Raw genomic sequence first — 27911 nt, 5'->3', positions numbered from 1 at the left:
AACAAGTGGGGGTATTTGTGATTTAAAATATGAATGATTGCACTATAACTATCAGACCAAAAAGCTGCCCTTCAGGTATAAAGTAAAAATTGAGATCCCTCTGCCAATATTCTACAAGAGACATCAGAAAGAAGGCACTGTTTTCAGACTCTTAGCATGAAAATAACTAGTCTGGTTTACTTCAAGGTGATAGTGCACAAATCATATTAGGAGTTGACAGCTATAGATCCTTCTCAAAGGTCTTCATGCTGGAGGGCCTGCTGATCACTGGGATAGAAGTAGCTGTGGTACCTGGCCAAGGGGAGGAAGCTGAACATGGTGTATGCTTGGGGTCAAGATGATTGCTGCCTTTCAGAGCTCAGGATACATGGCTCAAATTTCTCCATTTCTTTTGTTGGTGCTTAAAGATAACCTGTGCAAGTGTTGTCCTGGAAGGCTATGAAACAGCTTACCTAGAGCAAATACAGGAAGACCATGACTAACATTGGCTCTTGGGCATTGTTTTAGAGGGCGAAAGGTTTAAAGCAAGAATGCAGCATGGTAGGATTCTCTGCAGAGATGATCCATGGCCTAAATTATGAACTGCTATATTAAATAACTTTTACCTGATTTTATTTCTCAATATTGCTCTGTGTCAAGAGCTGTAAAAGGTCTAAGATGTTACCCTTCTTGAAAACTAGTTTTCTGAATGCTGGCAGAAGACATGAGACTCCTGGGTCAGACAACAGACTTAATTATTTAGAACATAGCAAGCAACATGAGTTTGAGCCACAGATCCCATGGGAGTGACACAGGGCAAGCTAGGTGGATACTGCACATGCAGTGGGTTTGCGTCACAGCCCAAATCTAATGAGGTCACAAGCAAACTGGCCTGACTTTCGCATTAGAGGGAAACACTATTTTGACTGTATCAGATAGTAAACAAACCTGTCCTATGATCCAGAGGAAGATAGTCTCTACCTTCCAAAGCTGTCATTATATGAACATTCTCGATTGGATAGTTTGGAACAAAACACCAATGCCTCTACTCACAAAATGTATGGAGAACTGACTCCCCATCTCTATGTGTTCTTTTATGCATCTCAAGCTTAGTTTTTCAGCAGTGTAGAGCTTTACAGTGTCTGCCTTAGACAACAGCATGATGCAGGGAGAAATTACTGGCCTGAGCATCAGGTGACCTTAGCTCTAAATCAATACTGCATTTTTTTTTTGATACAGTTTAACTCTGTTGCCCAGGAGTACAGTGGTGTGATCTTGGCTCACTGTAACCTCCTCCTGCCTTACCCTCCCGAGTAGCTGGGATCACAGGCATGTGCCACCACACCCGGCTAATTTTTGTATTTTTAGTAGAGATGGGGTTTTGCCATGTTGGCCAGGCTGGTCTTGAACTCCTGACCTTAAGTGATCTGCCCATCTTGGCCTCCCAAAGTGCTGGGATTACAGGCGTGAGCCACCATACCCGGCCTCTGAATTAACACTGCTTTCACTGCTTTCTAATGGAGCTAAGATCTTAAGTAAATGAATATTCAGCTCTACAGCATATGAAGTTACATCACGTCCCAGGCTCTTCCCAGATCAGACTCCCTTAAGGTAAGGAAATCATTCCAGAATTATTTGGCCAGAACACTTGGTGAGAGAGCAAGTGCAACCTGTAGGAATAAATTCATTCCAACTCAACATTTACTAAGCACTCATGATGGTGAGGGTTAGCCATAAAAAGATGAACATAGAGGAGCTCAAAAACTGAGTTTTGGTGGGCTGGATAGTAAATGAACCTGTCATATGCTTCAGAGGAAGGTAGTCTCTAAAACAGAAGTACAATGTAGTGCCATGGAAACAAGAGTAATAAATTGTGCTAAGCATTAAGGAATAAACAGGATTTAGGTAAGGAGCTTCCAGAATGTGGGGAAACAACCACAACAAATCTAAATAAAGGCACAGCATGAGTGTGAGCTGAAAATGAGGCATTCAAGGTAGAGTCCAGCAAAGTGAAGTGGTTGTTTTTAAACGAGTGGGGAAAAGCCAACAGGAGAGCTATGTGAATGAGAATTATCGGCATATATTGAAGACCATGCATGTAGCTGAGATTCCTCAGGACAAAATAAAATGTAAAGGAGCTAAAATAAAACTATTAATATAAGGGCCTTTAACATCTAAGGGACAATGTTAAGTGGTGAGAGAGGCAGTATGAGCAAGGTCACACCAATGGTGTTGAGAGAGGCCACATGGACAGGTCTACAAATCGGTCTTTAGTAATCTGCCAGAAGAGTGTCACTGGACAGATGAGGGCAGAATCTGCCTGCCGGGGTCTGAAAAGCAATTGAAAGAAACTAAGAAATTGGGTGAAAAAAAATCAGGAAGAGTACTTTACAGGATGGCGTGCTCTTTGTTCTGAGGGAGAAACTTTGAGAATGAATCTACAGACAAAAGACTTAAAGCCTAGTTAGCACAACGGGATATACTTGGAGGATTCAATATGCTTCAGGAAGAGCTAGGATGACAACATTTGGAATTACTGGACCCTGCCCACCATGTTCTGTTCTTGCAGATTCTTGTTCATTTGATTATGAATCAGCTGTGAAGTAAATCATTGAACAAGAAGCACTGTCTTTGTATGTATGTGTTTTAGTTATTTGTACATCAGGGGCTTAACTTTTTAATTGGTGATTTTAACAAGACCATTTTATCCTAAAGTGCTTTCTATTCCAACAGCTGGCTTTTTCTTAGTCTCCGAACTTCATTCACAAGTAGAAATGAATGAAGATAATAATTTGATAGGAAATGTGAAACTGTCACACACAGGTGGTTATGAGGCATAAGGAAGAGCCCCTGTTTAGCCTGCAGCACACACATCATTTCCCTTTCTATCCCTCCTGGCTTCATTGTACCCACGCACCACCAAAACTTACACAGCAATGCCTAAAAAGTAGCACAAAAGACTTAAAACCAGTGCCAATAGAGCAGAACATTTATCTTGAAACCTAAACTCTTGTCTAAACTTTTTTCCACTTGGTGTACTTTGCACAGACCTAACTTTTGGTATCAGGAAGGAGTCCTTCCCTAAATACCCAGTCGATGTCACAATCTACTCCTTGGTCATTTAAAACCCCATAATGTTACTTATTTATTCATTTGCAACCAGTGCAACACTTATTATCTGTTAGCTCTCAGCTTCAAACAGCTAGGTCAAAGTCAAGTAGAACTTTCACCACAAACTGCACATCCTGACCTATTTCAACAGAGGTCGTCATCCCTGTGAGGAATTCACTTAAATGTGAATTCATTAAATGTGTTGCCTTACCTAAACTGCAAGAGATAGAGGTTCACAACTTGTGATAGCAGACTTCAAAGTATTATGCAAAAACAAAAAACAAAAATAAAACATCATTGTCTAATTCATTAGAAAGTCGGGGAGTACAGGGGTATGGCAGTTAAAACTTACCCAAGGCCTCAACTGCAATGTTCTTCCACTCCAAGTGGGAATCTAGTGTTCATTTTATTCGGATATCACTTTGCAAAAAGGTAAAATCCAGGGCCAGGTTACCACACATTTTCTGAGAATAAAATGCTACATACTAATTATAGGAGATGCCTACTTCAGTTGTTTCTTTTCATATTTTTCAAGAGTACCAGAAGGCAAGATCTCCTGATATACCACTAAAAGGACAATTCATTTAATGAAATACATAAAAACAAAAACAAACAAAAGGCTGGGTGCCGTGGCTCACGTCTGTAATCCCAACACTTTGGGGAGGCCAAGGCTGGTGGATCACTTGAGGCCAGGAGTTCGAGATCAGACTGGCCAACATGGTGAAACCCCATTTCTACTAAAAATACAAAAATTAGGCCGGGCGCGGTGGCTCACGCCTCTAATCCTAGCATTTTGGGAGGCTAAGGCAGGTGGATCACTTGAGGTCAGGAGTTCAAGACCAGCCTGGCCAAGATGGTGAAACCCCATCTCTACTAAAAACACAAAAATTAGCCAGGCATGGTGGCACGTGCCTGTAGTCTCAGCTACTTTTAGGAGGCTGAGGCCTGAGAATTGCTTCAACCAAGGAGGTAGAGGATGCAGTGAACCAAGATCATGCCACTGCACTCCAGCTTGGGCGACAGCGTGACTCTGTCTCAAAAAAAAAAAAAAAAAAAAAAGAAATGTAAAAAGTTTAGCATCCACCTGCCTTACCTGTTACAGGAATGCTACATCTCTGTAAAGCGTCTTTGCTTCTCTAGCATCAAGACAGCTAGGATGGCTTGTCCACTGGTTTTCAAACTTCTGAGCAGCTCTTTAGAGGAAATGAAGTTTTTTGGGGAATAAGAGAAAATCCAAGAGAAGGTTCCTAGGTTCCACACATCCACATCAACCAGATCATTCTTTCATTTTTTTATACAGATGTGGGCTTTACAGTAAGACTTTCTATTTAAAAAAGAAAATGTAATCTGTCATGAGATTGAGTAAAATATATAAAAGTAAGAAAATATATTTTTAAAAAAGAAAATGATTTCGCACTATTACAAGGTTTAACTTTCAGTGTGCCTGCTAGGATAGAGAGCAGTGGTACTATAGTCTAGGGTTACCTGAAAGCACCTGACATCCTTTAAAAGGATCTGTGAGGTTGCTTTTTTGCAACAGCCAAAATCTGGAAATAGCCCAAATCTCCAACAGCAGATAAATGGATAAACAAATTGTATACTACTCAGCAATAAAAAAGGAATGAATTATGAATTATTAATGCACATACCAGATGAATCTCCAAGTAATTTTGAGGTCTAAATGCTTCCGTCTAAAAATGAAAGAAGTAATTTTGAGTGAAAGAAGACATACAGAGTATGTAATTTTGAGTGATTTTGAGTGAAAGAAGTAATTTTGAGTTCCAAGTGATTTTGAGTGAAAGAAGACATACAGAAAAAGCACTAATGGCATGATTTCATTTTTATATAATTTTAGAAAATGCAAGCTAATCTATAGTAATAAAATTTATCAGTGATTGACAAAGGACTAGCCAGAGGGATTATAATACAGCACATGGAAACTGTTGGGGGTGGTAAATATGTTATCTTGATTGGAGTGGTTTATAGCTGTATATGTCAAAGTTTACCAAATTGCACACTTATTTTTTTAAAGTAAAATTATGCATCAATTGTAAATTAAAAACTTAATTTAAAAAAGTCATTTGTCTTTCTCTTGTTCTCAGTACACAGTGTTGTTTTCCAGAAGTTAAATGACACCGTGTCATTTGGACACCGTGTCCATCACCTTAATAGCTAATGGAATGTGTGCTCATGTATCTTGTGTTTTAAATTTTTCTCCATTTTACTTTCCAATATGGTAAATGGTAAATATCTATATGATATATCTATCTTAAACCAGTGGTGTGCTAGGGCAGGATTGCACCAGCTCCCCAGAGCTGATTGTGCACATCTATTCCCAACTCTGTGTTTAGAGGTGTCATGCAGATAGCTCAAACTCAGCCATGGTTAAGTATTTACACCATGAAAAGCAGCAAAATCAGGGCTTTTTCTCAAATAGCTGGTTGTTCAACAATTACTGGCCCATGTAAGCAAAAACCCATTGAAGTCTTTGAGATACATATATATAGTGAGATAGGGTCTCTGGCTGAACTCAAACTTGTGGACTCAAGGGATCCTCCTACCTCAGCCTCCAATGTGGCTAGGACTACAGGCGCATGCTACTGCGCCTGGCTCAGTCCCTAATTTTTAACCGCAAAAGGATTCTCAAACCAAGCTGTCTAAGAACTACTAGGTTCAGTGATTCCTTATCCGTGGAGCTAGAAAGTGTTACTGGGGAAAAAGAAAAAAGAAAAATAATGGGACTTTCAGACACTCAACGCTATCAAAAAAATCTTTTGCAGACATTCATACTAAATTGTCTTCACTAAATGCCACCACTGCCATTCTCCCATGGTGCTCTTTGTTGGCCCAGTCCTTCCTCTAAGACCAGAAGGGCCTGGGGTTGATAAGTAGCTCCTTTTTAAATTTGAAGAGTGCAAAGGCTGGTAGGAGGGGTGGGGCTGCCAACTTCTCTGGCAAACACCAAAGATGTATCACCTTGCGTTCTATAGCTACTCATGAACCAAAAATGGAACTTCAAGGTACTGCTTGGAAAAGAATAGCACCAGACCACGTTTTCTAGATGATGGAGATTACAACTCCAGCAACGGGATAAGAGGTTCATGACACAAATATATTTATATTAGGTGAATCAATCACCAGGATACCAAGATCTGATACTTTCACAAACTGCTTGGAGGCAACTTAAGTATGGAAGAAGCTTCAGAACCAGCCCAGCTTTCTGCTCTCTGGCTCCAGGCTGCATCCTTTTTAACTATTTAATGTGGCGTGGAAAATGTCAGCATAATGAGGCTTTCTCATCTCAATAGAGAACCTAGGAAGGACAAGGCCGAATTAAAAAAAAAATCTTCATTAAAGAATTTAATAGGGAGTTGATTATGTTGTAGAATCATATCGTCCTATTCTGTGACACATTAGAAACATAAACTTTAGGGCTTTTTCATCTCCACAGCATAGAGGTCTGATCGCTTCTGTCTAAAAACGGGGATTTGCTGGCGTATTTCAGCCAGCTTCTTCAGGTCTGCAAAAAACAGGAAAGTGCACTATTAATAATTTGCAACTCCTCACTAACCAAGGGGATTTCTTCCCCTGACTGTATAAACCACCAGAGTCTTAGTAAGTAACTTAGTAACATAGGTCTTATCTAGGTGCACAGATGGCCTGGCATCATTTCAAACCAAACCAAGAAAATTCAAGCTGATACACTCCCCAGGGATTGGCCAGAGAACCAGACCCTAGAATATCCCCAGAGATCAATGAGAAGGGGCATAAAGGAACCCCTCCAAATGACAGGGACTTCCCAGCCATGGAGTCTGGCCTCAGAACAATGGGGACATCAGAGACCTAAACCATGCCCAGGAAAATCTTACCTATGTCTGAATACACGATTGCTTCTTCTGTGCCAGCTTTGGCTAGAACCTCCCCCCTGAAAAAGATGCAGAAGAGAATGAGTGGATTCACTGATGTTTGGTGATATTCAAGGTCTCTGTTTTTTCCTCCCAAGCTCACAGGCCAAAGGGGAAAGTATGAGATTGAAAACAAGAAGGTAGTCGTACAGATTTATGTTCTATCATTTAAATAGCTCTGTGACCTTATGGGAAGGCATTTTAAATCTCCATTTCCTAATCTATAAAGTGGAAATAAGAGCTCTGTGAGGGCTTAGTGATAAAATTATGGATCATGTTTCATAAATTGCAAATCACTAGGAGACGGTGGTTATCTGATGATTATAAAGATCTGGCAATAGAGCTACCTACCACCAACAGGAAGCTCCATCTCATGCCCTCATGAGTGCATTTCAGTGGACCCCCCCTTTACAATGGCAGTCCAGACCCACTCTTCATACCTGCCTGGGCTGCTACCCTCCCTGAGAGTGGTGAAGCTGGGCCTAGGCAGGGCCCCAGATCTGCTGGGGTCTCTGCCCTGGTGGCTGTGATACCTGAACCCCTGTGTTAATGGGCTTCAGTTTCAGATTTGAGGGAAAGAGTTCAACCTCTGGCGACTGGGTAGAAGTGGCATGGGGGGATGGAGGGTAACCTCACACTGGCAGGAGCCCTGCACTAGGGAACAGCCACACTCCTTCATCAATCCAGGGTAAGGCTGACCTGTAAAACCATCTCCAGGAAGGGTGCGGTAGCTCACGCCTGTAACCCCAGCACTTTGGGAGGCCAAGGTGGGTGGATCGCTTGAGGTCAGGAGATCGAGACCAGCCTGGCTAACAAAGCGAAACCCCATCAGTACTAAAAATGCAAAAATTATCTGGGCGTGGTGGTGTGCACCTGTAATCTCAGCTACTCGGAGGCTGAGGCAGGAGAATGGCTCGAACCCGGGAGGCAGAGGTTGCAGCAGTGAGCTGAGATTGCACCACTGCACTCCAGCCTGGGCGACAGAGTGAAACTCCATCTCAAAAAAAAAAAAAAGAAAAAAGAAACTATCTCCAGTGTCTAGTCTCTTGGCCCAGAGCAAGGGTTCAAACCCTTACCTAGAGAAATGAACCTTCTCCAAAATAATCTGACATAACAACTGATTCTGTTTACCAGATAGCCACAGACAGACTTTTGGCACAAATGAGTTACAAATACAAGCACCACCATTTATGACACGTAACTGAATTCTTTTCTGATTCTTCCCCATTTGCCCTGGCATTCAAAGATTTCTGGACAGTGGAACCTGATGCAAGTTCAAGAAAATTTTCAAGTCAACTTAGTCCTTCAATGTCCCCAAGCCTAATGTGCAGGAGGCCAACTGGAATCTCACACTAGTCATATCTTCCAAGGCCTCCCCACCACACACATTGAGCTCTGAGCCCTACCTATAAAGGCAGAAGACAGAACCCTCAGGAACCCCACAGTAACATTTAACTCTTCTCAGTCTTGTTACTGGTATACTCATCCTGAAATGTAGACATACATACCAGTGTGTGTGTGTGCTTTCATACAGAGAACTAGTGTGGAATACATCCAAGTTCTGAAGGCAAATATCCTGGATTCAAACACTGGGTCTAGCCGCTACATCTGGAATTCCAGTCGCTTCCTCTGTAATTCTACCATCTATAAACTGGGCTTAATAAGAACAATTTCCTGAGAGTTCAAGTTGAGACCATGTTGTGAAAGTAGGATGTAAACTGTACAAATGTAGACTGTAAGGAATGCGTATGAGCGTATGACTGTAATTCTGTCTGGGCAGGCTTATGTGCTGGCTCCACTGAGTAATAAAATGCTTCACCCTTTTGTTGGGGAGAGGGTCATAGTTTCACTTATTGAACCATCCTGACTGCTCCTCTGATCATTATGCTGGAAGCAAAGTCCTCACCCTGTAACTCATTCCTACCCTGGGACTAGTCAGCCAACTTAAATTTTAACCAAAAATTTCAGAGTCTCTTACTACAACCTGCCTGTCACTGCTGCCTTGTTTCCCCATGTGATCCAAGTATGACTGACAGTGAAGGTCACCAGAAACTCAGAAGAGGGCTAAGGCCAAGTGCTTGATCATGAGAGCAGGGTGATTTGCTTCTCACATGGTTTTCAAATGGAAGCTCCTCTCACAGAGACAGGCAGAAAGCTGGCAGGATATGTGGGGAAATGGGAGTGAGAAGTGAGCGCCTGGCTGCTCAGGAACCAGAAAACCCATCTGCCAACGAGCCACCACTCAAGCTCAAGCTCCGACTGAGCCTATTCTCACTTAGCCTTACTCACCAAGGGTTCACCACGGTGCTGTGTCCCCAGGCAACATAGGAGGCTTTGTCATCCCGGGCAGGAGAGGCTGTGGCCACATACACCTGATTATCAACAGCCCTGTAGTCAATAGACAGGAAAGAGGTAAATCGTACATTATAAATCTGACATTTTTCTAACCCAAGTAGATAGATCCTTCTTTTAAAAAATAGGATAGTTCAGGCTAACTCAGATGTAGAAGGAAGCCAGAGCCATGGAACCTTCTCTTTAAAAAGTTACCTTACTCAAATGGTATTTCTAGTTCTAGATCCCTGAGGAATCACCACACTGACTTCCACAAGGGTTGAACTAGTTTACAGTCCCACCAACAGTGTAAAAGTGTTCCTATTTCTCCACATCCTTTCCAGCACCTGCTGTTTCCTGACTTTTTAATGATTGCCATTCTAACTGGTGTGAGATGGTATCTCATTGTGGTTTTGATTTGCATTTCTCTGATGGCCACTGATGGTGAGCATTTTTTTCATGTGTTTTTTGGCTGCATAAATGTCTTCTTTTGAGAAGTGTCTGTTCATGTCCTTCGCCCACTTTTTGATGGGGTTGTTTGTTTTTTTCTTGTAAATTTGTTGGAGTTCATTGTAGATTCTGGATATTAGCCCTTTGTCAGATGAGTAGGTTGCGAAAATTTTCTCCCATTTTGTAGGTTGCCTATTCACTCTGATGGTAGTTTCTTTTGCTGTGCAGAAGCTCTTTTAGTTTAATTAGATCCCATTTGTCAATTTTGGCTTTTGTTGTCATTGCTTTTGGTGTTTTAGACATGAAGTCCTTGCCCATGCCTATGTCCTGAATGGTAATGCCTAGGTTTTCTTCTAGGGTTTTTATGGTTTTAGGTCCAACGTTTAAGTCTTTAATCCATCTTGAATTAACTTTTGTATAAAGTGTAAGGAAGGGATCCAGTTTCAGCTTTCTACATATGGCTAGCCAGTTTTCCCAGCACCATTTATTAAATAGGGAATCCTTTCCCCATTGCTTGTTTTTCTCAGGTTTGTCAAAGATCAGATAGTTGTAGATATGCGGCGTTATTTCTGAGGGCTCTGTTCTGTTCCATTGATCTATATCTCTGTTTTGGTACCAGTACCATGCTGTTTTGATTACTGTAGCCTTGTAGTATAGTTTGAAGTCAGGTAGCGTGATGCCTCCAGCTTTGTTCTGTTGGCTTAGGATTGACTTGGCGATGCGGGCTCTTTTTTGGTTCCATATGAACTTTAGTTTTTTCCAATTCTGTGAAGAAAGTCATTGGTAGCTGGGTATATACCCAAAGGACTATAAATCATGCTGCTATAAAGACACATGCACACATATGTTTATTGCAGCACTATTCACAATAACAAAGACTTGGAACCAACCCAAATGTCCAACAATGATAGACTGGATTAAGAAAATGTGGCACATATACACCATGGAATACTATGCAGCCATAAAAAATGATGAGTTCATGTCCTTTGTAGGGACATGGATGAAATTGGAAATCATCATTCTCAGTAAACTATTGCAAGCACAAAAAACCAAACACCGCATATTCTCACTCATAGGTGGGAATTGAACAATGAGAACACATGGACACACGAAGGGGAACATCACACTCTGGGGACTGTTGTGGGGTGGGGGCAGGGGGGAGAGATAGCTTTAGGAGATATACCTAATGCTAAATGACGAGTTAATGGGTGCAGCACACCAGCATGGCACACGTATACATATGTAACTAACCTGCACATTGTGCAAAGTTACCTTACTGCATAAGCCAGTGGTTCTCAGCAAGGAGCAATGTTGCCCACCAAATTTGACAATGTCTAGAGATCTTCCTGACTGTCGTGACTAAGGAGATGCTACTGACATCGAGCAGGTAGAGGCCACAGATGCTGCTAAACATCCTACCATGCACAGGACAGCCCCCACACAAAGAATTACACACCTAAATGTCAACAGTGCCACTGCTGAGAAAGCCTGCTATAAGCTAACATAAGAGAAGAGCTTCTCTGGTTAAAGCAAGTCAAGGTGGCCGGAGAGAATGGAGTGGCCTTATGAGAGCAATACACCTTGCAGGCCACATGGCGCTTCCATGCCCATGGTGGCAGTCCCACCACCTCAAATAGAACAAAAATTGCAGCTCGCAGTCCAGGTACACCAAAGCACCTCACCTCGGAGCCCTCGAGACTTAACAGACCCATGCTGGGTCATCTCAGTATCCCAGAAACTTCTCACTTTTGACAAAACTGTACCTTCACTGATACTCATGGCATCTTATACCCCTACCCCCATCTTCCACCATGCAACCAGCTAAAACCTCTTTCCCTTACATTAAACATTACCACCATCTCTAGAAGTGAGAACAGCAGCTACCTCTAGGCAGAGGGAGGAGTACTAACTAGAAAGGGGCAAAAAAGGGAGCATCCTCGGGGGCTGGAAATGTTCTGTTATGTTCATCTTGGTGGCAGGTGAATACACAAAAATTCACCAACCTCTATGCTTAAAATTAGTACACTTTTTTTGTATTACTTCAACTTTTAAAAATTCTAAAGAAAACCATCATCTCAGACCAGCATTTCATGGGCTGTAGAGCACTTTACAGACAGACAGACACACTCACAGTCACATTCATTTTCCCTTCCATCTTATGTCCACCTATGCTATTTGCCCTTCACCACCTCTCAGCCTTAGAAGACTAAGGAAAGGCACCTGTGACCTGCCAAAGATGCTTGTGCAAAGCCCTGGAGTTATAGGTTAGAAGAACAAGAGCTTCTCATGAGTTTCTTGGCACAGTACCCTCAGGACTAGTAGGATGGTGTGAAGGAGGGGGTAGGATAAGCATCCTGATCTGAATGGCATAGAATCAGCTGGGTACAGACCACAAATCTCTCCCTAGGTCAAGCTAAACTAATCCCTGCCTTTTAATTGGCTTCTGGGGCTCTGAAGACATAAGCTCTGTGGTTCTCAATTTCTCTGTAAAAGTTGCTGGAACTGACTTAAGAGGGACCAATCCACATCTAATCACAGAAAAATGAAATCCCTTCCCATCTAATACACTGAATATTGAAAATGCCAAAACCACAGTTCCGGCAGGGCTTGGGGCTCACACCTGTAATCCCAGCACTTTGAAAAGCTGAGGCGGGAAGATCGCTTGAGGCCAGGAGATTGAGACCAGCTTGATCAACAGAGTGAGGCTCTATCTCTACAAAAAATAAAAAATTAGCAAGGCATGGTGGCGCATGTTTGTAGTCCCAGCTACTCAGGAGGCTGAGGCAGGACGATCTCTTGAGCCCAGGATTTCAAGGCTGTAATGAGCTATGATTACACCACTGCACTCCAGCCTGGGCAATGGTAAGACCCGTCTCTTAAAAAGAAAAAAAAAAAAAAAAAAGTACAGTTTCCAAAATCCATGAGGTTGGTATTGTGGCTTCTGAGGAGAAAGTGACGTGCAGTAGAAGTCCTCCTTATAGCTTCATCCTTTCCAACTGCATTTGGATACAAGGGCATCCTGAGTCAGGGACAGAATCCACATCAGGAAGGCTGGCACCTCCACCCAACCGGAAATCTTTCTACAAAGAGGACATGCCGAGAGGCTTGAATATATGGTTCCTTTCTTACCGGCTTCGCTGAAGTAACTCCCAATGGGCTGGTCCAGTGGTCAGATTAAAAGCTCCTGGATATACCAACAGCTGGCAGCCTTGGGGAGAGAAAAGCCAAAGAACAGTGGATGCAGTGAGCACTCAACAAAACCAGTCCTCCCCACTGTTCCTTATCTAGCAGGAACTGAACTCAAACTTTCCCAAACATAAAAAGATGTCAGCCAAGTCAGACAGTGCCAGCAGCAATTAAGATATGGCTCTGAATTCCTTTAATACGAACACGTAAGTCACACACATATGGACACACAAGAAAAGTGGTGTTGATGACCAAAATCACATGTGACTTTGAGACAGAAATAATACAGGACGGTCGCAAGAGAACAGAAAATTCCAGGCAGCAGTTTCATATGACTAGCAAAAAGAAACTGTTGAAATAGCTGCCTACGCTAGGGGCTAAGACCCTGAGAAACTAGGGCTAAGACCCAGTGGACTCAATATGGTGCTGGGTTTGACCTAGGTTTCACCTAGGACTTCATTATCCTCATTATAAGCTCATTAACATACTAAATCACACACCCACCCGTGCCATGATAGTTTCTGGAACACCCGTATTTGGTGAAAAAATGAGTGGCACAATTCCGAGAAATCTCCACCTTTTTCTAGGAAGCGTCATGAATATTTCACCCCTTGGTAAAGAAACTCATAAAGGCGGTGGGTGCGCTGGCTCACGCCTGTAATCCCAGCACTTTGGGAGGCCGAGGTGGGCAGATCACCTGAGGTCAGGAGTTCGAGACCAGCCTGGCCAACATGATGAAACCCTACCTCTATTAAAAATACAAAAAATTAGCTGGGCGTGGTGGCGAGCGCCTATAATCCCAGCTACTGGGGAGGCTGAGGCAGGAGAATTGCTTGAATCTGTGAAGCAGAAGTTGCAGTGAGCCAAGATCGCACCACTGCACTCCAGCCTGGGCAACAGATTGAGACTCTGTCTCAAAAAAAAAAAGGAAACCCATAAAGGTAGATGGCCCAAACCTCCTTGCGCATGACTCTCTTGAGTACACACACCCTCCCTTTTTTGAGTGTGTACTTTTCACTTTGCAATAAATCTCCATACTTCCACTATTTTCTGACTCATCCTTGAATTCCTTCTTGCAATAGTGTCAATAGCATGGACACTGGCTGGGGTCAAGGTCAGACTGGTGTTTGGGGGCCTCCCCTAGCCCACCGGTATCAACTTCACTTAAAAAAAGGACGGAAAGCCTGGGCGACATAGAGAGACCCCATCTCTACAAAAAATTTAAAAATTAGCCAGGTGTGGTGGCACATGCCTAGAGTCCCAGCTACTTGGGAGGCTGAGGTGGGAGGATCACTTGAGTCCAGGAGACCAAGGCTTCAGTGAGCCATGATCACGCCTGCACTCTAGCCTGGGTGACAGTGAGACCCTGCCTCAAAACAAACAAACAAAAATAAGGTAGAGAACTGTCATTCAAATTTCTCTCAGCTCTGGCTGGGTGCGGTGGCTCATGCCTGTAATCCCAGCACTTTGGGAGGCCGAGGCGGGTAGATCACCTGAAGTCAGGAGTTCAAGACCAGTCTGGCCAACACGGTGAAACCCCATAACTACTAAAAATACAAAAATTAGCTGGGCCTGGTGGTGGGCACCTGTAATCCCAGCTACTCAGGAGGCTGAGACAGGAGAATCACTTGAACCTGGGAGGTGGAGGTTGCAGTGAGTCGAGATTGCACCATTGCACTCCAGCCTGGGCGACAAGAGCTAAACTCTGTCTCAAAAAAACAAACAAACAAACAAACAAAAAAAAACAAATTTATCTCAGCTCCATATGTCAGCTCCACATGGCCAATGACCACGTTTTGTAATTCTTTTCAACTGAAATTAGGGGCCGAGGAGTTGCCCTAAGGCTTATTGATATATGGCTCAACAGAGACTACTGACCCCAGAGCCCATGCACCTCCACCTTCTGAGCAGGCAGTCAAACCATTTCCACCCACTTCACTTGGTTAAGTGACAGTCTATTTGGAAGTAGCTTCAAGCAGTCTAGTAAGGATGCTGGTATTTGTTGAGTACCACACGAGGGGCTTTATAGGTTCTCTCTTCTTAATCCTCATATCATTCCTGTGACTAAACTGAGAACCACACTGCTCTAGAGGTGAAATCATTTTAGCAAAGTACTGTGCCAATTAAAGGGAAGAGTTGGAACTAGAACCCACATCTTTTGAACTCGCTCTTCCCAGATACTGGCACATTTCTCCTCGTCTGGACCAAAATATCACAGACCACATTTCTACTTGTACCCAATGTCTAGGGGTACTGAGTGGTGAAATCCACTTCATTTCTACTGGGCTTCAAGTGACTCTCCAAACACAGTAACAAGGACTCAAGGGTAGACCAGACCTTTATGAGCACAGCTCCTACCTTAGCTACATGATGTGTTTAATTACAACCCCCCAAAAACCCTGTCATCCATACACAGCAAAAGTCTGGGAAGCCTCATGGGGGTGAAAGGGCTGAAGATGGAGAAATTAAAGAGCCCTCTCCCAGCTTTTCTTGACTAAGGATCCCACATAGACCAGCCTAGAACCAAGCCTCCAAGCACCCACATAACACAGCTATTACACTGCCTCACCTCTCTGTGCGTAGATTTGTGCAAGCTCTGCAAACCGCATGTCGTAGCAGATGCCCAGACCCACTCTGCAGTAAGCTGTTTCCAAACAGAAAATGCACAAATGAAAAGTTAACTCCCTACAGCATGGTGTGGCAGGGGAAATCCTCCATGACATAATGATCACAAAACACTGACAGGGATAAATTAACACAGGACCTGAGGACAGAGATAATTTACAAGCTCATTCCTACTTGGACTTCATCTCATAAAGACATCATTTACATCAGCGGAGTAAAGATGAGAAATTCATTCTAATTGAATGCTTATTATCTAGATGGGAGGTACTCAACTGTAGCCTAATAGGTATACTCTGGAAGCCGTAACAGGAAGCTACAATCAAATCAAAGGGCAAAATCGTGTCAAATCCTTAGTTCTCAAATAAGCCCGAACTTTCCAGATCTGTGATGATTCTCTGCCTTTCTCACTTATGGTCTTTCAGTTAGGTTATGTGAAGAAATCGGAGAGAGACAAAAAAGAAATAAATACCTGATTGTCTTCTACTGAGATTGCTAAAGAGGCAAACTTATCTGGTACATACGAGTATCAAATGTGGAGAAACTATCACCCGGACTCAATGTTTTAGATTCTTGAAATGTAATTTTTCCAGGAACATCAATGTCAAACAGATGGATCTGCATCACAAATAATGGATTTGGTTACCTCTTTTCCAGCAGGGTCCATGGCAGTAATGACAATATCTTTCCCCGGGCAGATACGGAAGGTGCTCTAAGATTAACTATACAAACAGCACCCCCAAACTGCTTATAATCCACCCCACAAGCTGGCTGACACCTTATCAAAATGAATTCTACCACAGGGAACTGGAAAAATGATACTGTACCTTTTATAACCCCTATTTTCTAGCAGTCTGCAAATCAACCTCTAGGTTTCTCATGGGAGGTAACTAATATGTTGCTTTTTAAAAATATAAATGCTAAATAAAGACTTCTCAGAATCAGGCCGGACACGGTGGCTCATGCCTGTAATCCCAGCACTTTGGGAGGCCGAGGTGGGCGGATCACCTGAGGTCAGGGGTTCGAGACCAGCCTGGCCAAAGTAGTGAAACCTTGTCTCTACTAAAAATAGAAAAAAAAATTAGCCGGGGGTGGTTGTGCGTGCCTGTAGTCCCAGCTACCCAGGAGGCTGAGGCAGGAGAATTGCTCAAACCTGGGAGGTGGAGGTTGCAGTGAGCCGAGATCACGCCATTGCACTCCAGCCTGGGTGACAGAGCAAGACTCTCTCTCTCAAAAAAAAAAAGAAAAAAAAAATACTTATCAGAATCAAACTGACAAATTGACAGGAGAGGTGGAAAGTAGGTGGGCATTTAAAAATCACCTGAGGTCAGGAGTTCAAGACCAGCCTGGCCAACATGGTGAAACCCCGTCTCTACTAAAAATACAAAAATTTGCCAGACATGGTGGTGCATGCCTATAATCCCAGCCACTTGGGAAGCTGAAAGAAGAGAACAGCTTGAACCAGGGAGGTGGAGGTTGCAGTGAGCCAAGATCACACCACTGCACTCCAGCCTAAGCGACAGAGCAAGACTCCATCTCAAAAAAACAAAAACAAAAACAGAAAATGAAAGAGCATCTAAAAACACCAATGAGGAATAAATCTCACAAATGTTAAACAAAATTATACCCAAAAAACTATAAAAAGAAATTGAGAGAAAGTAAAGAAAGCGTAATAAATGTCAGGATATATACCACATTCATGGACTGGAAAACTTAATACTAAAAAGATATACTTCAAAGAGTTGGGTTAATAGTCCAATGCTGGCTGTTCTTCCAGCAGGTACACAGTAGCTCCTATCAGACCAGTTTTCTTGTGGTTAACTATGAACTCTGGACAAAATAAAAGGCACAACTACTTAAAGCACTGAAGAATGACCAAAACAAAGCAGACAAAATCTGAAGAGAAGAACACAGACATGTGGAAGCAGGGAACAGCCCTGGGTGAACTTCCTGGTGCTATTTACAGCTGCTACCCTGAAGCAAGGTCCCAGTTGCTGTGATAAGTAGTGGTGAAAATGACCCATAATCACACTGGCTTGAAGAACCAGAGCTGGAAACCAAGGGGGGAAATCCTGAAATGGAGAAAGCAAAGAGGGAGAGCCCTAAATTCTGCATATAAAATCTTTCTAAATCTCTGGCTGATCACTGAGTTAAATAGAAGTGGGGCAGAACAACCAGATAGAACAGAGCAGCTAAAGTTGCTGCCCACGTTTCAAAGAAGATAAGAGTTTGGTGTTTGGGTGCGGCCAAGTTAACCATCAGTTAAAACAAAATATTCAACACTTTTTGGAAGACTGTAATAGCATCTTGAATCTCTACAATATATAATCCACTGTACAATCTTAAATTAGTAGATACTCAAAGAAACAGAAGTGTGATCCAAACTGCAAAGAAAAGGCAATCAAATGAACACAGATCCTGCCATGACCCAGATGTTATAATTTTTTTCTTGTTGTTTGCTTGGATATGAGTTTATTTACATCAGGGGCCTTTTAAAGGCCTAATAGTCTCATTCTGTGGCACACAGATGTGATAATTATCAGACTTTAAAGCAGCTATAGAAACTAACTAAGCTCAACACTGTAAAGAAAAATATGCTTTTAATGAACAAATAGAAAATATCATAGAGTAATAAAAACTATAAAAAAGAAGCAAAGGGGTATTTCAGAACTGAAAATTTTAATATCTCAATTTTTTAAAATTTCACTGGGTTGGCTTACGGGAAATTGAAGAAGACAGAAGAAACAGTGAATAAGTCTGAAAGATCAACAGAAATTATCTAATCTGTAGAAGAGAAGGAAAAAGTATTGGAAAGACAAAAACAGAAAAACAGAGCCTGGTGACCTTGGAAAAATATTTAAAAATATAATATACATATACTGGAGCTCCATAAGAAAAAGGAACAGAAAAATATTTAACAAAATAGTGTCAAAAAACTTCCCAAACACAGTGAAAGATTTAAATTTACAGTTTCAAGAAGTACCAAGGAAGGCAAAGACAAAGGAAACCACATCTAGGCATATCAGAGTCAAAATACTAAGAACTAAAGATTATGAAAACACTTGAAAGAAGGAGAGAAAAAACAACAAATTATATCCGAGGGAACAATACAAATTACTACTCACTTCTCATCAGGGAAGAAAAAAAAAAAGGCTAGATAACAACTACTAGTGGAAAAAAAGGAAAACTATCAATCCAAAATTCTATTCCAGCAAAAATATCTTTCAAGAATGAAAACAATGTAAAGATATATTCATAAAGAAAAACTAACAGAATTCCTAGCTAACAGATCCTCAGAACAAAAATTCTAAATGAGATCCTTTGGTCTGAAGGATATACCAGATAGAAGGAGGATCTTCAGGAAGGAAAGAAAAACACCAGAAATGATAAATATTTGGGTAAACATAAAGATTTTTTTCTTCTTAATTTCCTTAAAATACATATGACTATTTAAATCAAGTATTCCTGTTTTGTGGGATTTATAACATATATACATGGAATACAAATGACAACTATAGCATAAAGAATGAGGGCAGGGGCAGTGGGGTAGAAAAATGGACCTATATCATTATAAGGTTCTTAAATTTCACATGAAATGATATAATATGAACTCTTAAGTAGCCTGTGAAAAGTTAAGGATGCATATGATAATTCCCAGGGCAACAACTGGAAAAAAAAAAAAAGCTAAGATGTATAACTAAAAAGCCAATAGATAAATTAAAACAGAACTCTAAAAAATATTCAATTAATCCAAAATAATACAGAAAAGATGAACAAAGGGAAAAAAAAGTAAAATGTCTCTATCCCTAAATTCAATCATATCAATAAGTGCATTAAATATAAATGGACTAACCACTTCAATTAAAAGACACAGATTGTCAGAATAAAGAAAAAATTAAGATACAATTATATGCTGTTGACAAAAGAGATCCACTTAAAATATAAAAACACATATAGCTTGAGAACAAAGAACTGGAAAAACCACGTACCAGCAAACATTAGGCATAAGAAGGCTGGAGTGGCTATAGTGATAGCAGAGATAAAGCAGAATTCAAGACAAGAGGTATTACAAGAAAAAAAAGAGATATTTCATAATGATAAAAGGGTCAACTCATCAAGAAGACTTAATGATACTAAATGTATATGATTTTTTTTTTTGAGATGGAGTCTTGCTCTGTCTTGCCCAGGTTGGAGTGCAGTGGCGCAATCTTGGCTCACTGCAGCGTCCACCTCCTGGGTTCAAGCAATTCTCCTGTCTCAGCTTCCTGAGTAGCTGGGACTATATAGGTGTGCACCACTACACCCAGCCAATTTTGTATTTTTAGTAGAGATGGGGTTTCACCATGTTGGCCAGGCTGGTCTTGAACTCCTGACCTCAGGTGATCCACTTACTCAGACCTCCCAAAGTGCTGGGATTACAGGCATGGGCCACTGCACCTGGTCATGTATACGCATTTAATACTAAAAAGATGGCAACTCTTCCCACAGTGTTCTCTATATATTCAATGAAATACTAATAAAAATTACTATAGGTTGGCTGGGCACGGTGGCTCATGCCTGTAATCCCAGCACTTTAGGAGGCTGAGGCGGGTGGATCATGAGGTCAGGAGATTGAGACCATCCTGGCTAACACGGTGAAACCAAGTCTCTACTAAAAATACAAAAAATTAGCTGGGCATGGTGGTGGGCACCTGTAGTCCCAGCTACTCGGGAGGCTGAGGCAGGAGAATGGTGTGAACCCAGGAGGCAGAGCTAGCAGTGAGCCAAGATTGTGCCACTATACTCCAGCCTGGGTGACAGAGCGAGATTCTGTCAAAAAAAAAATTACTATAGCTTGTTCCTTTGCAGAAATTGACAGGCTGAGTCTAAAACTTATATAAAAATGCAAATGGCCAAGAATAACCACCTGTGCCAATCAGTCAAAACCCTAATACATGTGTGATATAATGAGAGGGACTAGGGAACTTCATAGCAAATTTTTTTTCCACACATTGTTGCTGGCTTAGAGATAACAAATTCTTATGCCACACTTCCTACTTACCTTTCTATACTTTGCTAGTAAAGTTCCATCAGGCCCAAACACAGCACAGGTGTTATATAATTTCCCAGCATCCTCTTCAGGGATAGAGCCTTTCATTGAGAGAAGAAACATACCATAAGAAAAAGAATAGAGCAATTCTTTTGTGAGAAAGGGATAAAAGCCTGATAACTTGGGTCCAAAAATAAAGAACCTATCTTTTACGGTTTATTTATTCATTTTGTTTTTAGAATAAGGCAACACCTCATTCTATAATACAGAATAAGTATTCCCTTCTATGGGTTACTTAATCATGGTTTTTTTTTTCCTTCTTGAATATGATCTTTCAGAGATAAACTCCAGAGTGTAGATGGGATATGATTAGGTTAGATGCCAAAGACAGGTTTAAAAAATAACCAAACTGTTCCTGAAATTCAGCCATGATCTTGAGTAACACTTAATCTGTAACATTAGGGCAAAATGAGAAATTTCCCATTGCTTAACTTGAATTCACCAGGTTCTGCAACAAAACTGTGTCCCAAAAGATGAGAACGTAAAGTCAGAAGCCTCTCCATCACTGAATGCAGTTTCATCTCCAGGCTTCTTGCTTTGCCTTCATTTCTAATTCTTAATATATCATCATACAGAAAAAATTGTATTTGCTATATTTATAGAATTTTTCTGTGTTTATTTTTTATTTAAGCAAATAAAACCTTTAAACATTTATTCCAAAACCACAAAAATAAAGCTACCTTTATGTATGTGGCCTCTATGGAAAAAAATTTTTTTTCTCAATCCTCTATTAGTATAGTAAAAAACAGTCCTGGCATGATGGCTCACACCTGTAATCCTAGCACTTTGGAAGGCCAAGGTGGGCAGACTGCTTGAGCCTAGGAGTTCAAAACCAGCCTGGGCAACAAGGTGAAACTCTGTCTTTACAAAAAAATACAAAAATCAGCCAGGCATGGTGGCGCACACCTGCAGTCCTAGCTACTCAGGAGGTGGGAGAATCACTTGAGCCTCGTAGGGTGAGGCTGCAGTGGGCCATGATCACACCACTGTACTCTAGCACGGGTGACAAAGCAAGACCTCACCTCAAAAAAAATAAATAAATAAGAAAAAGAAACTCTCTGCTTCAGCTTCCCAAGCTGAAGCTTCCCAAGTAGGGAATACAGGCGCACGCCACCACACCTGACTCATTCAGATGTTTCTAATGTTTAGGTCATTATACCTTGTGGGTAGGAAGTTACCTCCAATGAGATATATGCTGCATTCCTTTGCTACTTCAGAAAGCTTCTGTGTGGATTCACCAGGAATTTTCTCTGCATATTCAGGAAAATATTTCGCTCCATATGGAGAATTAAAGCATTCCTAGAAAAATATTGGCAGAGAAAAAAAAAGATCAAAACACCCACCCATTTTAAAGTTCTGCTGTAAGAGGCCATAGCTGCTGCTTCTAGCTCTGCTTTCAGTCGAAGGGTTAAAACACAGCTAATAAGAAAAACACTGACATCTCAAGGGTAAAGAGCCTGTAGCCACAGGTAAGACTACAAAGCTAGCCTAGTGGGTTGGAGGAGACAAATCACAGGTGTTCTCCCAGAGCTCATTTAAAAAAAAAATGTTGGAGGCTTAGTGCTAAAACCAATATGTTCTGGTTCTATAAAGACTTAGTTAAATAAGGAACAAAGTATCCAAGCACTGAGTATTTTAGTTTTCCGTAAGTCCCTCAATATACTAGGATTTTGGCTTCCTCATCTGAACAAAGAGGAAGATCCAAAACCTAAAGACCTATGACCGTGTTGGCACATCCTATCTCACAAAGAACCTTGCTAAGGTCATCCTCCAGTCAGACTCGGAACAATCTATGGGCTCCAAGGGACACTGCTGGACCCCAGGATACAAGAGGACAACCAGAGCTAGCAAACACCGTTCTGCTTGGGTGTACAGTGGCTAGAACAGAATGGCTGCTCCCATACTGACCGGCAAAGAAACTATTTTGGCTCCTTGCGTTGCTGCCTCCCGGATGAAGCTACAAGCGCGAGTGACGTTATCTGATTTGATGGAAGAAATCTGAAGCTGGATGAGGGCCAAGCGGAAAGCTGAGAACAAAGACAAAAGAAAACAGCTATCAGAAGATCGAACTGCTGGATTCAGACAGAGCCATAGTTCTCAAATGGAAGGCAGTTATGTCCCCGGGGGGACATCTGACAATGTCTGAAGATACCTTTGATGCCACAACTGATGAGGTATGAGTGGCATCTAATGAATAGAGACCAAGGATACTGCCAAACATCCTACAATGCATAGGACAACCCCCTCCATAACACAACGAAGAATTATCCTGTCCAAAATGTCAATAGTCTAAAATCTATCTGGAGATAGAGCAATATCCATGGGCAAAGTCCCATGCCAGGCACAAGAATCTAGAGTGAACCAGCTTCTTACTACGCAGTGTAGGGAATGAAATGAGAATATGGCTTAAAGTAAAAAGACTGGGTTTGAATATGGTCCTGTCCCTTACTGTTTGTTCATGGGCCTCTCGTCTACCTCCAATCCATATACTGAGTATGTCCCAGCACAGAAAGTGTGATTCCTTGGAAGCTGCTCACATAATTCCCATGAGCAGCCCAGCTCATGGGAAGGGAAGATGTCTGTCTCAGTTTCCCCACTACTGGCTGGGTCACAGCACATCGATCCCGCTGCTGGCAGAGGGAAAACCTGGCAGCCAGTGAGCTGCACACATGCCTATTCACAGGACAGGGGTCCCAGGCACCTCTAAAAGTCTGCACTTACCCCATAAGTATTCATGTGTCCAAGAGAACATGATATTAAACAGCAAATAACACCATGAGAGGTTGAAAGAGATACTGCAGAAGGAAAAGCTAACAGCACTTTTCTCTTGCTATCTGAACAAGGGAACTGGGCCCCACAAATTATGTAGCCAGCCCTGACAAGGTCTGTGCTCAGCCCTGGAGCAAGGAGGTTGGGGGCTCTTCCAAGCTTATTTCTTCCTGGAGGTAGTAGCTATACATCATATTTGCTTTTCTTCTGTTCTTTAAAGTTCCCTTTTAGCTTTTATGATAATCACTTTCCATTAGCTAATATTTTTTATTTTGAGGCAGGGCCTTGTTCTGTCGCCTAGGCTGGAGTGCAGTGGCACAAACATGGTCCACTGCAGCCTTGACCTACTCAGTTCAGGCAATCCTCTTGTCTCAGCCTCTTATGTAGCTGGGACCACAGGTATGCACCACCATGCCGGGCTAATTTTTTAATTATGTAATTTTTTGTAGAGACAGGGTCTCACTTTGTTGCCCAGGCTGGTCTCGAACTCCTGGGCTCAAGCGATCCTCCTGCCTCAGCCTCTCAAACTGCTGCGATTATAAGCATGAGCCACCACGCCTGGCCAGATAATAATTTTTTATATAAAATTTTCCGCCGGGTGTGATGGCTCACGCCTGTAATCCCAGCACTTTGGGAGGCCAAGGCAGGTGATCACCTGAGGTCAGGAGTTTCAGACCAGCCTGGCCAACGTGGTGAAACCCCGTCTCTACTAAAAATACAAAAATTAGCCAGGTGTGGTGGTGGGCACCTGTAATCCCAGCTACTCAGGAGGCTGAGGCAGGAGAATCAGTTGAACCTGGGAGTTGGAGGTTACAGTGAGCCAAGATCGCGCCACTGCACTCCAGCCTGGACGACAGAGTGAGACTCAGTCTCCAAAAAAATAAATAAATAAATAAATAATTTTCCTTGTTCGAGTTACTAGTGTTGTTTCCATGTCCTGTCTGGACCCTGATGGATACATAGTTCCTGCTTATGGTCTGGTGGGACGCAGCAGTAAAGGATCCAAAGCACATTATAATCTATGAAGCTCTGCAAAACTTCAGGAATTATTAGTGTAGGGAAAAGAAAGAGCGATCAGATTATTACTGTGTCTGTGTAGAAAGAAGTAGACATAGGAGACTCCATTTTGTTCTGTACTACGAAAAATTCTTCTGCCTTGAGATGCTGTTAAACTATAACCTTACTCCCAACCCCGAGCTCTCTGAAACATGTGCTGTGTCCACTCAGGGTTAAATGGATTAAGGGCTGTGCAAGATGTGCTTTGTTACAGATGCATGAAGGCAGCATGCTCCTTAAGAGTCATCACCACTCCCTAATCTCAAGTACCCAGGGACACAAACACTGCGGAAGGCCGCAGGGACCTCTGCCTAGGAAAGCCAGGTATTCTCCAAGGTTTCTCCCCATGTGATAGTCTGAAATATGGCCTCGTGGGAAGGGAAAGACCTGACCGTCCCCCAGCCCGACACCCGTAAAGGGTCTGTGCTGAGGAGGATTAGTGCAAGAGGAAGGAACGCCTCTTTGCAGTTGAGACAAGAGGAAGGCAGGCATCTGTCTCCTGCCCGTCCCTGGGCAACGGAATGTCTCGGTATAAAACCCGATTCTATGTCCCATCTACTAAGATAGGGAAAACCGCCTTAGGGCTGGAAGGGGGACAGGCGGGCAGCAATACTGCTCTTTAAGACATTGAGATGTTTATGTGTATGCATATCTAAAGCACAGCACTTAATTCTTTACCTTGTTCATGATGCAGAGACCTTTGTTCACGTGTTTATCTGCTGACCTTCTCTCCACTATTATCCTATGACCCTGCCACATCCCCCTCTCCGAGAAACACCCAAGAATGATCATAAATACTAAGGGAACTCAGAGGCCGACGGGATCCTCCGTATGCCGAACGCTGGTCCCCTGGGCCCCCCTACTTCTTTCTCTATACTTTGTTTGTGTCTTTTTCTTTTCCAAGTCTCTCGTTCCACCTAACGAGAAACACCCACAGGTGTGGAGGGGCAACCCACCCCTTCAATTAGTAATGGCCTGCCCGAACTTCCCATCCCACCTCTGCTCCAGAGTCTGAAAATCCTACCATTAGAGAGCTATCTCTTTTGGGTGTTTCCTGTAACAACGCAAATGTCTCCAGAAAAGGCAACAATGACAAACCCTGGCCTCTGATGAAGGCCTGTTTGGCTCAGGGTTAACTAAAAGGAAAACTCAGATGTCCCATTCCTTGATCTATCCTAAATATAGTGAGAAGCACTAAATTTAACCCTGAAGGCAGCCTGCTAAATAGTTATAGAATCTGAAGGGAAACTAAAACAGGAAATAAAAGCTGGGATTATTCTGGGGCAAACAGATATTTTGAGCTGTTATCAGAACAGCAGATAAATCCACTAAACGTCTCCCCTCCATTTCCCAGCGTTAAGCCATTCTCCCTCCTCAGCTTCCCAAGTAGTTTGGGACTAAAGGGGCGTGCCACCACACCGGGCTAATTTTGTATTTTTTAGTACAGACAAGGTGTCGCCATGTTGCCCAGGCTGGTCTCCAACTCTTGACTCGTGAACTCAAGCGATCCTCGTGCCTCAGCTTCCCAAACTGTTGGGATTACAGGCGTGAGCCACGTGCCGGGCCATGTCTGTGCTTCCGAGGGTGGGAAAGATAAAGCTCACCATGGCTACGCTGATGGCTTCCTCTCCTACACATCTCACCCACAAGGGCGGGGTCCTCAACTAAGCTTAGGACTGCCTATCATTCTGCAAATGACCCACTCTACAGACATGCTGCAGCAGGGAAACCCCGCCACTGGGCAGTTCCTCATGCTGAGGAGGAGACGCCCGTCACTCCATCTCATCTGTAAAGTGAAGACTTTTAAGGCTGCCCTAATATTCATCATAATCTAACAACGAAGACCTTACCAAGGGGCGGAAAAAAAGAATAAAATACTGTGAGCGAAGGAAACAACAAAGGAATAACATTTAAAGCAATGTGCCAGGTCCTTCACACATTAACATCATTGTGTGAGGTATCATTAACATCATTTTACAAATAAAGAAACAGGGGACTTGCAGGGGGAAAGCTGCACAAAGTCACTGAACAAAGTAAGTGACACAGCAAGAATCCAAGTCAAAATCTGGAGCTGGAAAGTGAGTGGGGAGACGAAGAACCGCCTGGGCACCTTTGTGCAGGGCGGGGCTGGAGGAGGTCACGCAACTTGAAAACACCCAAGGGAGTTGGATCCTACCACCGCGGCCCACACCGTGGAGAAATACACGTCCATCAGCCTCTGTCAAGCAGGACGCGGCGGGTGCCGGCGCGGCCGGGTGGCCTGGTGCTTTCTGGGCCTCGCCCGCCACCCCGGAAGCCTGGAATCCCGGGAGTGCGCCCGGCCGCCCGGCCACGCGATCCCGGACCCACGCGGACGCCCGCCTCAGGGAAGGCCGCGCACGGCGGGGACGCGGGGCGGAGGGGCTGAGCCGGCCGAGCCACCGCCGGCGCCGCTCCAAAGCCTCCCCCGCGGCCCGAACTCGAGCTGCAGCGCGCGGCCGCGCCACTTACAGGTCATGACTCTGCAGACAAGCACCACCTGCGGCGCGGACTGAGCGCTGGAGATCCGGCGGACCGCGGCGTCGCTACGGTGGGGCGGGGACCGCGTCAGAGGCCCCGCCCCACCCCTCCTCCTGGCCCCGGCCGGGAGGAGAGAAGGGTCTGCGTTCATTCCAGTGCGCCTGTAACACCAGGACGGACCAACGAGAAATGGTTAATTGCAACACAGTCCGGAAAAAGCATGCCTCGAAAGGCAAAGGGCAAAAGGGAACGGCCTAAGTCGAGGTGGTGTGCTGGTGAATGTCTTAACAACCAGACTTTTCAGGGAGGAAAGCCCTGATTTGTAGCGTTTGCTGATTCTCCGCAAAAGGACTGAACTTCTAGCTGGTTGAATCACCTCTGTGGCCAGGTTAACACCGTATGCTGATGGGCTTGAGCTATTTGAACAAGTCTCTGTGACGGGGACGGAATGACCCTGGTTGGTTTAGGCACGCGAGACGTCTGTAAAATCTGACTACAAGGCTGCTAGGCCAACGGGAAAGATGCTGAGGGTTCAACGCCATGCCCTCAACAAGTCAGTCCTCGAATACATTGTCATCTCTTTGCTAATATCCTTTTTTGTTTGTTTGTTTTAGACAGGGTCTCACTCTGTCATCCAGTCAGGAGTGCAGTGCAGCAGTCTCAGCCCATTGCAGCCTCAACCTCCCGGCTCAAGCGATCCTCCGTCCTCAGCCTCCCAAGTAGCTGGGACTACAGGCACACACCACCACACCTAGCTATTTCTTTTCCTTTTTTCTTTTTCTTTCTTTCTTTCTTTTTTTTTTTTTTTTAAGTTTTTTACTTTTAATAGAGGTGGGGCCTTGCTATTTTGCCCAGGCTGGTCTCAAACTCCTGAGCTCAAGACCCTACTGCCTTAGCCTCCCAAAGTGCTGGAA

At 43.2% G+C, this 27911-nt stretch overlaps 1 protein-coding gene across 1 annotated transcript, besides 7 other annotated features; it reads right to left on the bottom strand.

Moving 5' to 3' along the window:
- Window positions 1-151: 151 nt before the first annotated feature.
- On the bottom strand, window positions 152-27030 carry NIT2 (nitrilase family member 2). The gene is made up of 10 exons (NM_020202.5): window positions 26989-27030; window positions 22582-22700; window positions 21852-21972; window positions 20626-20714; window positions 16109-16202; window positions 15532-15606; window positions 12906-12984; window positions 9285-9383; window positions 6960-7015; window positions 152-6610 (listed from the first exon to the last, which is right to left on the bottom strand). The coding sequence occupies exons 1-10, from the start codon at window positions 26993-26995 to the stop codon at window positions 6519-6521; spliced, it is 831 nt and encodes a 276-aa protein (NP_064587.1). The 5' UTR covers window positions 26996-27030; the 3' UTR covers window positions 152-6518.
- Window positions 26008-26302: a silencer, noted in NCBI's record as "tiled region #4023; K562 Repressive DNase matched - State 1:Tss". NCBI's record gives its function as "represses a minimal TATA promoter and a strong SV40 promoter by Sharpr-MPRA in K562 cells {active_cell/tissue: K562}" and the evidence as "EXISTENCE:reporter gene assay evidence [ECO:0000049][PMID:27701403]".
- Window positions 26008-26350: a biological region, named in NCBI's record as "Sharpr-MPRA regulatory region 4023".
- Window positions 26271-26350: an enhancer, noted in NCBI's record as "active region_20156". NCBI's record gives its function as "activates an Ori minimal core promoter by ATAC-STARR-seq in GM12878 lymphoblastoid cells {active_cell/tissue: GM12878}" and the evidence as "EXISTENCE:reporter gene assay evidence [ECO:0000049][PMID:35858748]".
- Window positions 26471-26530: an enhancer, noted in NCBI's record as "active region_20155". NCBI's record gives its function as "activates an Ori minimal core promoter by ATAC-STARR-seq in GM12878 lymphoblastoid cells {active_cell/tissue: GM12878}" and the evidence as "EXISTENCE:reporter gene assay evidence [ECO:0000049][PMID:35858748]".
- Window positions 26551-26600: an enhancer, noted in NCBI's record as "active region_20154". NCBI's record gives its function as "activates an Ori minimal core promoter by ATAC-STARR-seq in GM12878 lymphoblastoid cells {active_cell/tissue: GM12878}" and the evidence as "EXISTENCE:reporter gene assay evidence [ECO:0000049][PMID:35858748]".
- Window positions 26694-27262: an enhancer, noted in NCBI's record as "H3K27ac hESC enhancer chr3:100053369-100053937 (GRCh37/hg19 assembly coordinates)". NCBI's record gives its function as "activates a minimal SCP1, AML or CMV promoter by ChIP-STARR-seq in naive H9 embryonic stem cells {active_cell/tissue: H9 hESC(naive)}" and the evidence as "EXISTENCE:reporter gene assay evidence [ECO:0000049][PMID:30033119]".
- Window positions 26701-27030: a silencer, noted in NCBI's record as "silent region_14570". NCBI's record gives its function as "represses an Ori minimal core promoter by ATAC-STARR-seq in GM12878 lymphoblastoid cells {active_cell/tissue: GM12878}" and the evidence as "EXISTENCE:reporter gene assay evidence [ECO:0000049][PMID:35858748]".

Source organism: Homo sapiens, chromosome 3 (assembly GCF_000001405.40).
Source record: "Homo sapiens chromosome 3, GRCh38.p14 Primary Assembly".
Lineage (NCBI taxonomy): Eukaryota > Metazoa > Chordata > Mammalia > Primates > Hominidae > Homo > Homo sapiens.
This window is presented reverse-complemented; position numbering and strand designations above follow the sequence as displayed.

Coding starts and splice junctions, on each gene's coding strand:
- NIT2 (NM_020202.5), bottom strand. Junction 20,715..21,851: donor CAGCATATATCTCATTGGAG/GTAACTTCCTAC, acceptor TCTCAATGAAAG/GCTCTATCCCTGAAGAGGAT. Junction 9,384..12,905: donor GAGTTACTTCAGCGAAGCCG/GTAAGAAAGGAA, acceptor TATTGACTACAG/GGCTGTTGATAATCAGGTGT.